The sequence below is a fragment of the Homo sapiens genome, chromosome 4 (assembly GCF_000001405.40).
Source record: "Homo sapiens chromosome 4, GRCh38.p14 Primary Assembly".
Classification (NCBI taxonomy): domain Eukaryota; kingdom Metazoa; phylum Chordata; class Mammalia; order Primates; family Hominidae; genus Homo; species Homo sapiens.
In genome coordinates this window covers 134,693,733-134,710,942 of record NC_000004.12, presented here as the reverse complement: position 1 = coordinate 134,710,942, position 17,210 = coordinate 134,693,733, and the positions used below count along the sequence as shown (strand labels likewise).

At 33.8% G+C, this 17,210-nt stretch overlaps 1 annotated feature.

The window, feature by feature from the left end:
* Positions 16,415–16,916: an enhancer, noted in NCBI's record as "NANOG hESC enhancer chr4:135615182-135615683 (GRCh37/hg19 assembly coordinates)". NCBI's record gives its function as "activates a minimal SCP1, AML or CMV promoter by ChIP-STARR-seq in naive H9 embryonic stem cells {active_cell/tissue: H9 hESC(naive)}" and the evidence as "EXISTENCE:reporter gene assay evidence [ECO:0000049][PMID:30033119]".

Below are 17,210 nucleotides of genomic sequence, written 5' to 3'. Positions count from 1 at the left end.
AGGAGAGAGAAATATATTTAGTATAAAGTTTTAAAGGAGAAAGTAAAGATAGTCTATTGGAAAGGGTTTGAGCGTCCATTGATGTTCTGTGTTGCCAATAAATGGCAAGGGTGTTTAGATTAATGTCCTGATGAAAAAGAAACTTTGTGTAGCTTAAATAACATGACTTGGCTAGAGATATGTAATAAAATATTCAAGCATTTGGTGATTTCATTATTTTCATTATTCCAGGAAGCACTTTAATTTTTAAAGAATATTAAATACCTAAAATTCATTGGAATTAGATGATGCATTAGTCCTTTATGATAGACTTTGTTTTACTCAAATCATTTGTACTTATAAAATGAATGGCTAGACTTACCTGGAAGTCAATTAATTTTTAGGAGAGTATTAGCAAAGAGCTATTTACTTTAAAAGCAGACATTTTGAAAAATTTATTTTCTTTGCCATTTATTTTACTTGTTATATTTTCTTTCTGAGAGCCCTTTAATTTGTTTACTTAAGTAGCAATACTTAATCCACATGGTTGATCTTTAAAAGCTGGGAATTTGGAAACATCTACATTTTATGACAAAATAGCCCTCACGAAATACTTTTTTCATATTCTTCTTTTTAGCTAATCTATAAATCAGGCATTAGATGTGCGTTTTTTTGTATTATACAAATTAATATTAACAAATAAAAACTATTTGTATGAAATACGTATATCTAGTGCAATATATTATTAACCTTATATGCTATTATTCTTTTTAAGTATATTTTCCTATCTGGCCATCATGCACTGAATAGAAATCCTTGCAGTAAATAGAAATCCTTTTATAAAAGCTTTCTACTTTTCTGGAGTCAGACTGTCTGGTTCTTACTATCTAATTCATTTAGAGACATTCAACAACAAAAATGAATATTAAGGGTGACAATTCACCACAAAATCTATCATGAAAATAACTAAACTAAGTGATATTATATTCAGAGATATATAATGAGAGGCAGAGATCTCCAGCCATCCTGTACTATTGAACTAGTTCACCGTATCTCCAGAAAGAATTTTTACAAATGTTACCTTAGAATGCTTGGCAAGAAACTGAATGCAGATGTCAACATTACAGGGAGCTTATGCTGTTTGGAAGTAAAGGACACAATTCTCTTTTCAAACTTGCTGAAAAGAAAGCTCATAGGGAAAAAAATGAATGACAATAAATATAAACTTCAGGCTACATTTTGTATTACAAAGAAGAGGACCTTTTATTTACAAAGAGGAGGTCTTGAGTGGAAAGACCAAACTAGTCTCAATTTAATACTTCTTCATTTAAAACACTGTTTTCAAACAAGGAAGCCAAGCTATTCTTTTTAATGATCATTACTTTAAGTTCCAAGGAGCAAAGAGAATGGGTTGCCATATTGGAAATTCCAAATGTAGAGAAGAGATAAACCCAAAATGCCTGAAAATATGAAAGGGTAAAATGTATACTTGCTACAATTGTTCTATTTAGAATAGTTGGGAACAGACAGTTCCTGGAAATTCTTATTAAGAAGAGTTGTGGCAGACATTGAGGATCACCACCTCCATTTCTGCATAAATCTTTGTAATGGGTGTTCATAAAAAATATACTTCTTAGGTCTAATCACTAATCTTTCATGTAGCATGATTTCACTTCCAGAATGCTTTTAAACACCTGTGATAAAATCTATGCCTCCACCACAATGGATAGACTCTGTTTAACTAACTGAAGAATAAAATTGATTTTTACAAATATATTTGAATTTATTTATTGATAATAAATAATAGACATATAAAAGGTAAAAGGCTAAAACATGCCTTGGTGTAAATTTTTCATAGAAGGAAAATAACATGAAATATTTCATCTTGAAGCAACTTTTTGATTATTTAATAAAACTATTTTTGGTTTTTGCTGCCAGGAAATATGTATGTTTTCCCAAGTCCCTTTTACCTAGTGTTGAGATTTCTTTCCAATTTGATCTTGAGGTCACTCTGGAGGGTGACTGTGAACTCTAGCCCTGCCTCTACAGGGCTTCAGTGGAGGTGGTCATGAATCTTTATAGTGTGTGCCTCAGAGGATACTTCTTTATGCTGGCAGATGGCCTAATGCCTAATTGCCTGACCTGTGGCCAGGTGTTCCTCTCACAGGAAGCTTGTTTATACTTGCACACACTCCAGTAGTTCTTGTCTGACAGTGTGCAGTTATTCCTACCAAGATAGCCACACTCTAAGAAAGCCCTGACTGGGAGGATACTTAGATTCCAGAGTGGTCTTATGTGGTCTAGTGAGACACAGAGGAGGCAGGACAACAAAACACATGAAATAATGGAAACAGCTTTATTACTTACAGAGAGAAGAGGGTGGCATGCCTCACAGAGCCAATGAAAGTGGGGAGCCATCTGGAACACACAAATTCAACCACAGTGGGGAGCAAGAGAGAGCAAGGGCAAGTGACCTGAGTGTAAAAGCCTTTATTGGGGTCCACGGTGTTACCCAAGCAGGTTTTCTATATTAACTTCTTATTGGCGGGTTCAAAGTAAGCAGGTCGGTGCTCCATGCAGGTATGCTGTGAGAGGGTGTCACTGTGGCATACCTGCACAGGCCATATGGTGGGGGTGGGAATAGGGGGCAAGTCAACTAGGTTGTATCTGCTGTCCCATAGGGAAGTGGTTGCCAGGAAACAGTTGCATGAGGCAAATATTTGAATCAAATTATTGTGAAATTGGTAGGAGGTGGAGATCTGGAAGTGTTCCAAGGGTGCATAATCCTTGTTTCTGATATGAGAAAGTCAAACTTACATTTAAAATGGATGTCAAAGAAACATAAACTTAGTAGAATGTACTACAACTCAACAATTGAATTTAGGCCTTTCCCAAGTTAAAGTTCAGAAATACATGATTGTATATTTGATAATACAAAGGGGTTTATAATAAAAATGAAAACATTTCCCACTAATGCACAACAACGTCTCACTCACTCCCCAGAAGCTGCAACACATTTGGAGCACATTTACAGAGTTATGGAACTGAGGCTTCTGTACAATCTGCTACCCCAAAATCTGGAGAGATAGGCAAATGAAAAGAGTGAGAACCAAGATTTTCTTAGAGCAAATGCCACTGGGTTCATAAACTGGTTAAAAAAATATTAAAAATAAAACTTTACATGGTAGTTTTGACAAATTTTTGGAGTATGAGTGTAGAATAACTTGAGAACAGTGAGAAACCAGATACTTTTCCATGCAAACTGGGAGGATGTCATCTTTCTCACTACTTCTATTCAATATTTTATTGGAAGGCCTAGCAAGGCTTTACCACAAACACACCAAAGGAGATAAAAAGTGCACACACTGAAAAGAAAGAAAACGTGTCTTGTTCACAAATAATGTAGTTGTCCATATAAAAAACTCCAAGTATTGGCAAGAAACCTCCTGTAACTAATAAGTAAGTAATGCAAAGTAGCAGCTGGACCTTGGTTTCAAATTCTATTTTTTAATGAAAAGAATTAGGGCTCCTTGGAGAAACGGCTAGATTTAAGATTGGGTCAGGAAATACAAAAGATGGTTTTGGAGTACCTAGTTGTTCCAGAAAGTAAGGCAGTACCAAATGAACAAACAACTGCTAAAACAAAAACCCACCTACACAAAATGGTGGAGATATGCCAAAAAGTATATGCAAGTTAAAAGAAAGAACTCCCAATAACCAAAGCAGGAACAATTGGATCGACTACAACAAGAAAGTAGAATTGGATTATAACTCAATGTGTCAAATAAATATCCATGAGTCTAGAATGATACAGATAAATGATTAAATAAATAAATGGGTGGAAGAGACAAATCACTCTTGAAACAGAGACCTAAATAAACATGTACATACTCTGCTCTAACAAAGAGGAGGCATAACTCCCAACTCCTTCAGTGTGGGTTGCACATATAGTCATCCCTCAGTATCCTGGGAGATTGACTTGAAGACAACTGCCCCACACCAAAATCAGTGGGTAGTCAAGTTTCTTGTATAAAATGTCACAGTATTTGCATATAGCCTACACACATCCACTTTTTCTCATATACTTTAAATCGCCTCTAGATGATTTACAATACAAATGCAATCTAAATACATAAATGCTATGTGAATATTTATACTGTATTTTTAATTGTATTCTTTTTAATTCTTGTATTGTTATTTTTATTGTGCATTGTTTTTAAAAAATATATGTGTGATCTACAGTTGGTTGAATCTGTAAATACAGAACCCATGAATACTGAAAACCAACTGTAGTAACTTTCTTCAAAAGAGTACATTATGGAAAGGGAGAAAAAAAAGAATAACTTTACAGTGGTGAAATCTTACAAACAATATTATAGTGAGGTGATCAAGGTCAATATAAGCAGTGATAATTTATGTTGATAGTGTCTACGCTTGATATGAGTTAATTAAAATGGCTCTTTTCCTCTATGACTTGCCCTCCTCAAAATTCATAACATCTGTGTAATCATAAAAAAAATTAGAAAAATCCCAATTGTGGGACATTCTACAAAATGCACAAACAGTATTTCTCACAACTTTCAAAGTTATTAAAAACGAGCATAAGGAAAGCCTAGAGAGGCCTGATGATTGAATGCCATGTTGTATCTTGGATGGGATGCTTGAAGAGAAAAGGACATTAGGAAAAACTAAGGAAATCTAAATGAAGCATGGACTTCAGTGAATATAAATGTATCAATATTGGTTTATTAATTGTGATAAATGTATCATACTAATATAAGATTTTAATAATGGGAAAATGTACTGATTGTACTCTCTTTGCAATTTTTCTGTAAATCTCAAAGTTAAAAAATTAATTTAAAACATTTATTAAAAGTTGATTTAAAATATGTGGTGGTATACTTTTACTAATGTTCTTTATCTAATTGTATGGATTCATAGTATTAATGGATAATATCATCTCTCAAATATGTTAATTTTTAAGGGTTTAATGTCCAGTCACTTTTAGAATTTCATGTGAAATATTTAATATTTGAGGAAAATGCATTTAAAAGAGCAGTTAAAAATATATCCTCTAGATATTTATCTAAAATATATTTATTGAGGGCCTAGTACATAGTTAGCTTGATACTGCACCAGAAAGACTATTATGCTTGCCTTCACAGAATATCCAGCCCCCAAATCTAGTTAAATTACTAGTAATATAGATGAAGTTAATCACCTGAACTGCATTTTAGATTTATATTAAAATATTTAAAAATAATCATTTACTCTTACAATGATGACAAACAACATTATTTACTGTTATTTATCATTTTCAACAATTTTATTTTTCATTCACCTAAAAACTCACTTTTTCAACACCTTTTAGAAACTTATTGCTTGTTAAATTGATGATGAAATTATATGAGGTAAATATTTGTATTATTTCATATGAGAAAGTGTACATCCTCCTTATAAATTGGGGAAAACATCATATTTTTGCTAAATTCTGACTAAAATCTTTTTTTCTTCAGACTGGCCGGGCCCAGTGGCTCACGCCTGTAGTCCCAGCACTTTGGGAGGCCGAGACAGGTGAATCGCCTGAGGTCAGGAGTTCGAGACCAGCCTGACCAACACAGAGAAACCCGTCTGTACTAAAAATACAAAATTAGCCAGATGTAGTGGTGGGTAATCCCAGCTACTCAGGAGGCTGAGGCAGGAGAATCACTTGAACCTGAGAGGCAGAGGTTGCAGTGAGCCAAGATCGCACCATCGCACTCCAGCCTGGGCAACAAGAGCAAAACTCCATCTTAAAAAAAAAAAAAAAAAAAAGAATTCCCACCAAATTCATAATATCAAAAGTCAGTAAATCGTACATGTAAATATTAGCCAATTCATGTCCTAGTCATTTGACATTGGCCTTTTGATAGTGTTATTTGCCAATTTAGTCAAATGAAACTGTTTACCTTCTTGTGCTGTATGCCTCAGAAATAATCTAAGCCCCGAGCAAACACAGGGCTCAGTAAGAAGAGAGGACCCAGAGAGATCACAGAGTCTGGTACAACTAGGGTTGGTGTCAGAAGAGGAGACCAAGTAATAGAAGACACTTAAAGGGTGACAGTTTAGAAATAATTATTTGGGTTTGGAATTATTGATGATATAAAAATTCAATACCTAATCTGTATAAATTTAATTAAAGATCATTAAATGAGGCATTCATTTCCCTGGAAAACAAACACAAGTTAATAGGAACTTAATATTCTGGGTAGAACTATGAAAGATCAATCAACAGAAGGTGCTGAGAGAAAGGAATATTAGAAAAAATATGTTTCCTTCCAAAATCAGGAGAGAAATTTCCCTTACATGAGGACTTTATGGAAATGGAACCTGTGTAGTCTATGACACAAGCATGTTTACAGAAGATATTGGATTCCTTATTCATCCAGCATACTCCATGAAGTGAAGTGTTCAAAAATACTTTTCTCAACTTTGGATGTGCAACCAGGCCCAAATCAGAAAAGATGCTGGTACTTGGGAATAGAGTTTAACAGGGAAATGCAACTTTAGTTTCTCCTGGGCTGTTGTCTTCTTGCCAGCCCAGGCAAGAAGGGCTTCACTTCCTAATAGAAAATGAAATAGTTTGAGTCTCCAAAGAATGTGAACTTCAAAGAGCAATAAGAGTAAGACACTTGGAGCTAACTTTTGAAGCATGGAGTTAACTTTTTCAAGATAGATAAAAGAAATTTATTTAGTGAAAGTATAACTAAGTTAGCTAAAATCTAATCAACAAATTTTAATGAAAGAGAAATAGAGATTCTAGACATCTCATTTCCTCGTAAAATAGAGAATTTCAAAATGGATTTTTTTCTGGGACAATTAAAGTTCACTGGCTTTGTGCCTGACTACTACTTCACATACCAGGAACCTAGTCCTCTGATCTTAGCTACTGCCCTGCATGTGCAGTGCTAGCCTGTTGCACATGTCAATACCTGGAATAACTTCTGGACATGTGCAGTTCCAGCCCTCCCTATAATAAGCCATAACTGGCAGCCCCATGACTATGCCAACCAATTGGTTTCTAACTTTGATCATCGTCTATGCAATCTGGTTAAACTAGCTTTACATCCGGTATCACCTAGATCAATCTATAATGGTCTTCCCATAATTTTACCATAACCACATGAATCTACTAGTTTACTTATTGTGTCTCCTCACTTCTGACATTTTCACTTATTTTAATTACTTTGATTATTAAAGACTAACAGGTTAAACAAGCATAACACACATATGTATACGTGAACATGAATAATAATATTGTAAAATTTTTCAGCAGATTTTTTGAGTAGCCCTGTTGTATCATCAAGTAGTTAATATCAGTCCTACATGAGCAATTTGATTTCCAGTGCCTGGAAATTCATTTAATACATATTACACTCACTTTTTTGAAGGCTATTGATAATTTTTTCCATGATAATATCATGTGAATGTATGCCATAAAATTGAAGTAATCTGGCTATTTCTAAAAATTGACTGAAGAGTATATAATATCTCTTCTCATTTTAAGTTATTACATAAGGTGGAAAAAAATGTATGATTAAGAAAAAGAATGTTGAAGTCAAATACAATTCTCTTATTTGCTCTGTGACCTTTGGTGTATTAGTTAACTTGCACAGGAGAAAATAACACACACCTCAAAGAGCCATTGTAAAAATTAAAAATATACATCATTTTACAAATATGTATTTACAAAATGCACAGCACACTGCTTGGGGTTTAATAAATGGTTGTTGTAGCTAAAAGTATGCACATGTCTGAACATTCATTTTTGGTGACATGAAAACACATCTCCTAAATGAAATCGGTTTTTAAAGAAGAACATCCAAAAGCTGCTGTGTTGTTAAAAGCAAATTACCACACTAATATAATTTAAAACACTGGATTCTCATGTCAAAAACACAAGACATGAAAAAATGACATCAATTGTTCACAATGTAAGGATAAAATATAAATGAAATGTAAAAACAGGACTAGAGGGGGCCTTTTATTCTCCCTTATTTATTTCTTTAATTGTACCAAACATATTAGCCAAAAGAGGAAAAAGGCAAGTTACAAGCTACATTCAATTTATTGGTAAAATACATGCGTGGAGTTTTCCAGATATTAAACCACATTAGCTAATCACATTTTTTCAAAAGAATAGAACCGGTTAAATCATGTAAAATCTGTTTCCCCTATGAGATTGGGTAAAATAGATACATTGTACCCATTTAAAGATGTATATTTATGGCCTCAATGCTCTGCTGTAGCCACCCTCTGCACAGTGTTAAGCTGTTCGATTTCACTCTTATTTGAAAGATAACAGCCGACAGATCTGTCAGACTTTAAGCTGCCAATCATTTAGAGAGCTTCATTTGTCTCGATTAAATAAGCACTAGTTATTAAAGCTGGGCCTTGACATCCAGAAAAGCCTGTGGTTGTGTTTAGATGACAAGAGAGGTCTGTCTGCCACAGACTGATGCATCATTCCTGGAGCCACTCTTAACAGTTAAGGGGCCAGTGAAAGAATTCTGTTCAATATTAACCTCCCTCTTCTCAGTCAAAGCATTCAAGAAGCTGTTTTCAACCAGTAAATTAAAAATAAGATTTAACGTATATATTAAAGTAATATATTGAATTACTGAATTAGTTTTATACAAAAGATAAAATACTGTCAAATTTAGCTAGAAACAATATATTATGATCATTTTATTCCTACTTACCAAATAAAGTTGCTGTTACTATTTTTTTGGCTAAATAAATTTTTTTGACTGGTCTACATTTGCACATTTTACTTGGAAAGAGTACTGTATGTGACACAGGAGAAGATAAACATCACTACACATGTAAGCCATTTAAAAAGGCTTTCGGACTAGAATGGTGTGATTGTGCTGTAGCTAGAAATTGAACATATCCAATTCTCTGAGAAAGAATAATAATCTCAGTATGAAATATGATAACATATTCTTTGCAATCTTTTATCTGATTAAAGCAATGTTTGCCACTACAATATAATAGATAAAATATGCCAATTGAAGAATTTCTGTCTTCCTAAATTAATGTATATATTTATTATCTGCGTATTACATCTAATAGGATAGATTTCTGAACAATGCGCCGTTTCAAAAACTTAATGTATTCTTAATTTCTAGTTACTGCTCAGCAGTGCTGGTTTGAATAATAATATTCTACTGGAACTAAATCAGATATAGCGGGGGAACTATGATTATTCATATGAAATTTCTAAAGGTCATTTTAAGAAGTATAGAGAGCTATATATATATGTCTTATCCAAGTACCATAGGGAAGACAATTTAGAAAGGGAAAATAAAGAATTTGTTTTTCTGTGATTCTCTTCTTATTTCTTAGTTAGAAATGAGGTAGGATAACATACACACTTTTTTATTATTCAAAGTGGTCTCAACGGGAAATAAACAAGGAGGCAAGGAAACATATCAACACAGCAGTTTTGGTGAACAACAATCAGTGAATTTAGCTGCTATCATCTTTATGCCATACTCCTCACTGTATTTGAGAATTAAAAAACTAAATATTTTATAAGGTTAAATTATATCATTAAAATAAGCTAATTCTATGCAGCTTTCCATTTCCAACCTAACTAGCTTTATACCATTATGTAGATATTAGCTGTACATTATCTAAGGGTGTTGTCAATGTTTAAGTAAGAATTTTTTAACAATTTTATTTTTTCAAGCCAGTTGTACAAAAGCAATTTTTTATGTGGATAACTGAATTAGAAGAAAGCTTTTGCCTGAACTATTCAAATTATTCAAGTTTCAACATGTTTGTTTCCCAAACAAACTCAGTGATTGAGACTTAAAAAAAATTACAAGGAAATCTGAATCTGAATCTAAATTTCTCTATATTGATATATTGATAATCTTATTTCAGTCTCCCAACTTCATTATGTCTTTTAATCGAAACTATATACAGTTTCTAAATACAATTTTACACAAACTTGCAGCATATAAATTTTAAAACATTAAAGTTTTAGAACCTTTATTTGTGAAACTGCATTGTATTTGTTCATACTTTTAAAAATTGTCTCAAAAGAGAGCCATTCAGTACATAATAAGGCCATATTTTTATAATTATGAGTTAGGCATTAAAGTTTAGAGTTGAATATTCAAATATTTTTACATAGTATTTATTTTAATTAAATACACATTAAGTTTTAAATGCCTATATATTGTAAACAAACTGCTTTTAATATATACTTAGTAACACAACTGGATGATGTGGTGATTATAGTTTCATAGGATGGAATACTTCAAATTATAAAGGGAAAATTCATATGCAATGTGTGAATATTTTACTTTTTTCATCATACAAACTTGATATGTTTGCATTAGAAATTGATTATCATCTAAAAATACGCATGTTTTCAATATTATTATAAAGGAAAATAAATCAGCTGAGCAGAACCGTGCAGAATTTGACAGATGAGAAATCTGTCTATATCTAGAAGTTGTGCAATAGTACATATTCTTGAGAGACGATGCAATCCATGTCATTAAATTTCAAGAAACACATGTTAAAATATGATAATTAATTGAAACATATTATTTGTATATTATCTTCAGTACACAACTACCTTTGTGAAAAGGACCAAAATAGTCCAATTAGGTTAATGCCGAAGATTTTTTTTATTATACAGTTTTTAGTTCATATATAAATTTCAAAAGTAAAAAAACACAATACAATGAGCGTAATATTCCTTTATGTGTTTTGGCATATTTGTTTAATTAAGCCTTATAAGTAGACATTTTGGTTATTTCCAATTTTTTGCCATTACCTATAATCCTATAGTGAAAATATACTTTTGGCATATGTATGTCCTTCTTGAATCAAAAAATAAGTCCATTTAAAATTGAGATAGATATTGCCAAGTTGCATTCCAGGAAGATTGTATTAATTTATATTTCTATCCACAGCATAAGATAGATAATCCCTAAAATACTACACTTGAAAACTGTAAGACAAATGATATTTCATTGCTGTTTTAATTTGTAGTTAAGTATAATTTCTATGTTTAATGTTAATTTTTATTTTTTCTGAAATTTACTTCATTTCTTTTGTATAATTTTAATTATTTCTGAAGTTTTTATGATTTTTTTAATCATAAGACTAGCAATTTATGGACACAGTTTGTTGATGCTCTTCTTTTTGGTCTCTACCTTTGTGTCACACTTGGAAGTCTTTTTTAAGCTTATAAAAATAGTGCCAATATTTCTGGTTCTGTGTTTTATAAGAACTTGATTTACAAGAAATTTATTTTGAATGCAGAAGATTCTTAAGGTAACAATAAGTCATAAGGAGGGAAAAAGTTTCTGAATCTTGACTTAAACTTATTTTTTCATGTTGAAATGAAAAATTATTTTTAATGCAAAACAAGCCTTTTTTCTTCCCTTCCTCTTTTCCTCCCTTCTTCTCTGGATTCCTTCCTTCCTTCCTTCCTTCTTCCCTTCCTTCCTTCCTTATTTCCTTCCTTCCTTATTTCCTTCCTTCCTTCTTCCTTCCTTCCTTATTTCCTTCCTTCCTTCTATCGGGGGAAACAGCCCCCAATATTTCAACGTGGGTTCTTTTCTATTTTCCGTAAGTGTTGGCCAGTCTCAGAAATAAAGGGAAAGAGTACAAAAGAGAGACATTTTAAAGCTGGGTGTCTGGGGGAGACATCATATGTCAGCAAGTTCCATGATGCCCCCTGAGCCATAAAACCAGCAAGTTTTTATTAGCAATTTTCAAAGAGGAGGGAGTGTACGAAAAGGGTGTGGGTCGCAGAGATCACATGCTTCAAAGGCAACAGAAGATCACAAGGCAGAAGGTCAGGGCAAGATCACAAGGTCAGGGTGAAACTAGAATTACTAATGAAGTTCCATGTCCCGCTGTGCAAGCATTGTCATTGATAAACATCTTAACAGGATTCAAGAGCAGAGAACCAGTCTGACTAGAATTCGCCAGGCTGGAATTTCCTAATCCTAGCAAGCCTGGGGGTGCTGCAGGAGGCCAGGGCATGTTACATCCCTTATCTACAACTGCATAAGGCAGACATCCCCAGAGTGGCCATTTTAGAGGCCCCTCTGGGAAAGCATTCTTTTCCCATGACTGTTAATTATTAATATTCCTCACTGGGGAAAGAATTCAGTGATATTTCTCTTACCCATTTTCGGCAATGAGAGAAATATGGCTCTGTCCTGCCTGGCTCCCAGGCAGTCAGACCTAATGGTTATCTCCCTTGTTCCCTGAACATTGCTGTTATCCTGTTCTTTTTTCAAGGTGCCCAGATTTCATATTGTTCAAACACACATGCTCTAGGAACAATTTGTGCAGTTAATGCAATCATCACAGGGACCTGAGGCGACATACATCCTCAGCTTATGAAGATGACAAGATTAAGAGATTAAAGTAAAGACAAGCATAGGAAATTATAAGAGTATTGATTGGGGAAGTGATAATGTCCATGAAATCTTCACAATTTATGTTCTTCTGTCACCCCTTCAGCAGGTCCCTCCGTTCAGGGTCCCTGACTTCCTACAACACCTTCCTTCCTTCATTTCCTTCCTTCCTTATTTCCATCCTTCCTTCTTTCTTCCAACAGATACATATTAATTGATTATCATATGCCAGAGCATATGTTAGCATAGTTTTTGTGTCTACTGCTTGAACAATATTTCAACAATTATACTTTCCTCCTAAACCCCACCACAAGTTTTGCTTTCTAAGTAACTAGAGAAAATGTTAGCAATTGTTAGGGATGTTGCTAAACAAGGGAGACTCCTGGAGGCATGTGATATATAGTGAGACCTGTCCCTACAACCTTGTCTTTCAATATCCCTCATTTCAAAAACTGAGCTTGTAACTTTTTTCAATAATAAATAGAAATATTACAAAGACATGAAAAATCTGTTTCTAAATTACAACATACAGTAAAAACTTTTTATTTCAGAATTAGTATTATAAAATTTGAAGGATAAAAGCATCAAATCCAAATTCAACATACTAATTAAGAAAATTTTCTCCTGACTTAGATTTGGTTCTGTTTTATAAGTACATGTTCAGCTGGGAAGCAAAAAAAAAAAAAAAGAAAATTCCTTTATTTTCATTTTAAATTTTAATAGCAGCCTAAATCTTATCGAAGTCAATTATTTAAGGTTGGTTTTAAAAGTCAAAAATTTCACAGTGTTTTTTCCTCCAATAGCTCATACAGTAGATTGATTAATTTTATACCCGTTATTAAAAATGATACTCCTAAATACAGAGGGAGTTGAAAATCAATAATGTCATGTCTCTTTGTACTCATTTTGTGTACTGGGTGCAGCCTAATTTTTGATGAATGCATGTAAATGAGCATGATCTTTAAAAAAAATTTCTAAAGTTTTAGAAGTAATATTAAAATAGAGCTCCTCTATGTCAAGTAAGAAAGCAAGGCTTTTTCTACTATTCCTAAATATTTGCAATCCTTATTTTTAACAGCTTTGAAAGTTTTCTAATTACAAACTCAGATGTAGGTCCAAATGTCATTCAAATATTTCAATGAAATCGTAAATCTTTATATTCTGAAACTTTGTATGGGAAATTGTGGACAGTATGCTATTTGCCTGATATTATTTTGTCTGCCTCTGTGCCTTATAACTGATCTGTGATTCCCAGCGACCTAGATATACTCAACAAGCTCATCACATGACTCTTAATGACTCAAATGTTTATCTGTTTTTAAGTCACTTAATCATTTTCACCTAGAGAAATGCATAAGTAAGACATATCTAATTTGGGAACTATTTTTACTCAGTGGAAGGAAAGAAAGAACAGAGAAAAGAAACATGTTTAGTGAAATTCTTTATGTATCATTCTTCAAGTGCATGCATTCTTTATGTATTATTAATTCTATTACACAAATAATGAGAATTTGGTGTCAGAAAGGTCAAATAATTTTCTCAAATTATAATGACTTCAAAAATTACTCATCATCAGAATTTTTTATAGTATTTGTAATTAGTAGCATGATGTAACTCTTTTGAAAATGATTTGGAATTTGCTTATAGAGTTATAAACATGTACACATCTAATACACCAATTCCACTTTTTTGTACTTTCCCAAAAGAATTGAAAACATAGGTACACATACAATTGAATAACAATATTTTTAACAACTTTACTCATAACGTTAACAACTTCAAAATTATTCTAACCACCAACAAGAGAATGGCTTAAAAACAGAGAATGTTTATACAAATATAATTCTACTCAGCAATAGAAAGAAACAAACTAATGATATATGCAATAATGTGGATTAATCTCAAGAATATTATGCTGAGTATAAGAAGTCGTACTGTATGAGTCCATTTGTACAAATTTCTAAATCATAGTTTATCTATATAGATAAAGTCTATAGAGTGAAATAAATTAAAACCGTGAGTGCCTCAGCAGCACAGGAAAAGGGAGAAGCCATGGCCTGGGAAGCAGCATAAACTTCAGAGGTGAGACAAATGATCTATATCTTAATCTAAGTAGTGGTTTTATGGTTGTGTACATAGGCTAATATTCATCACGCTGTCACACTTAATAGATGTGCATTTCACTCCATGTATACTATCCTGTGACTTTTAATATGCCTTGCTTAAAAAATGCTCTTTCAAAGCACAGCATATCAAACATGATTTTGCATCTAACACAGGCTAATATACTTTTGTTTGTGTACTTATTTGCACTTTACAAAATTTTTTATTTTACCTTTTCATTGTTTTTTGGAAAAGGTAGAGTATTCAAACCATGTAAAAGGTATCAGAGTACCATCATGTTTCTAGACTTGTCTCTGTCATCCAATCCACTTCCCAAAGACATCAATTGTTATTAACTTCTCCTGTACAGTTCAGGAGATAATTTTTGCATTTAGAGATATATGCATACATATGTTCCCTCCTTAAATATAAGGGGTGTTCTCCTACATCTATTATTTGTACTTCACTCTTTTAATATAGGTAGGAGAGACTTTCATTTCATTACATACAGCACATAACAATTAAAAATATCCCTTAAGCCTCGGCTGAGTTTGGTAGCTCAGTTGCAATACTTTCTGAAGTTAGTTCAGAAAAGGTCATTTATCTTTCAGCTGGATTACTTTTGGGAAAGCCAGGTGTCATAATCAGATGTCCCACTATGTTGAGAATACCATGCTAGAGAAGCACCTAATATTAGGACCTCCTGTCAACAGCCCAAATGAGCTCCACCTGATATCCAGCATCAATATGCCACTGTCCTTCTCAGGTGTCTAGCCCAGTGGAGCTTTCAGATGACTGCAGCCCTGCTGGCCACTAACTGCATTTGCATGAGGGACCTCAAGTAAGACTAGCCCCAACAAATCCCTTCCTGAATTCCTAAGCCTGAAAAACTGTGAGCAAAATATATTTGTTGTTTACAATATGCAGATTTGTGGTAGTCTATTAAACACCATATTGATGTCTGTTTAATATATGTACGCTGTATAGAGTCACCCCTCTGTACCTGTAAGGGACTGGTTTCAGGACTCCTGTGGTTATCAAAATCAGCAGATGCTCAAGTCCCTTACAGTCACCCTTCATATCTATCTGCAGTTGCAGAACCTCTGGACATGGAGGGTGTACTGTATATGTATAATGTATTGATAATATTTACACTGGCTTTTTGTGTGAAATAGAAAACACAAAAACACTGAGAAAGTATTTATCTATTCCTACTTTATTGAGGGTGTGTGTGTGTGTGTGTATGTGCTTGTGTGTGTGAGAGAGAGAGCCAGAGAGAGCATGCATGCATTCGTGTTGACTTAGGAATCTTCCCACCAGACCAAGAATTTTTTTAATTATATATTTCAAATGGTACCTTCATAGGCTCCCCATCTGTTCCAATCCTAAGGACCCTGTAATCAATTAGCTTCCTCCACAATTCTCTGCTGGTCTAATCACTCTGATTATTGATCTGTCCCTGTGGACTGGCTATGTTGATTTCATCCACCATTTATTCTACTGGGCTCTTAGAAGGTTAAGTGCTAACAACTGGCTTCTACTGCTCAAAATGCTTATTATTTCCATTGAAAGCAGGGATCCCAATTCCACTGAAACATCTTCCATAATCATTTCTTATTAGAAAGAATGAAAACCCAGAGATTCTCAGAAGTGCTGGTGTTCTTTCCTTTTCCCCATTACTTAACACATTTCTTAGTTTCTTCAGCATTTCTTAATGCTGAGGGGTATGGATTCCAGACCCTTCTGTGGAGTATGATCGAGTAAAGAATGCCTGACCACAAATTGGGCCTTCATTATTGAGTCAAACATCAATTATCTAGCATAGAGACTATTAATGTCACTCACAATTTTTTATCCAATGCATTAAATCAAATATCATTAAGACAAGGCTTTACTTCCTCTTTGTTAGTCTAATATCCCTAAAATCTACTATTCCACATGGAACCCCATCTCCTGCCAACAAAAATTGGTAAGAGTCTGCAACTCTTTCAATATATAGACACCTTCTGGGCCAGGTTGGTAGTTCTCTATCTGGGCTTTGAGAAACATTAATTTAAATAGTGGCTGGGAGACAATGAGTAGGTACTACAGAGAACTGTCATCCCTTTGTGAGACAACTGCTCTAGTCAAAGTCATTAGAATGCATTTATGCAAGGAAAAACTCAGATGTGAGACAGGCACTGCTCTTCTCCACAAGTAGTATTCAGGGATAATTGGGGATTCTCAGCCTTATCTGGGTCCACTCAAGTGTCTCATTTTTATTTTTCAAAGACCCATTACTTTTCAAATATGTAAGTATTCCAGTTACTAAATGACATTTTTAGGATCTATGTCCAAAATTACATCTGGCATAAAATATAGAATCATTGGATATTGAATAGGAAAACAAAGATGGAATACTCAAATAGACACGGATGAAATATTTACAAGGGTATGGGCAGGGTTTAGCAGAATTGACAAGAATAACTGAAGCAACCCAGGACTAGCAAGAGCACTTCTATGCCTGAAGAAAGAGGGGGCCTTGGAGGTATGGACTTCGTGGCAGAAGCTGCAGCTTTAACATATTGAAATTGCCACGCAATCTGTTAGGGAGCAGGGTGGGATAATAAATACTATAATGTCTTCCCATTCCTTCTATTAGATGCCCTACTATTCCCTGTCATTGGCCAAAACTTATCATAGAAGGCCCAGGTG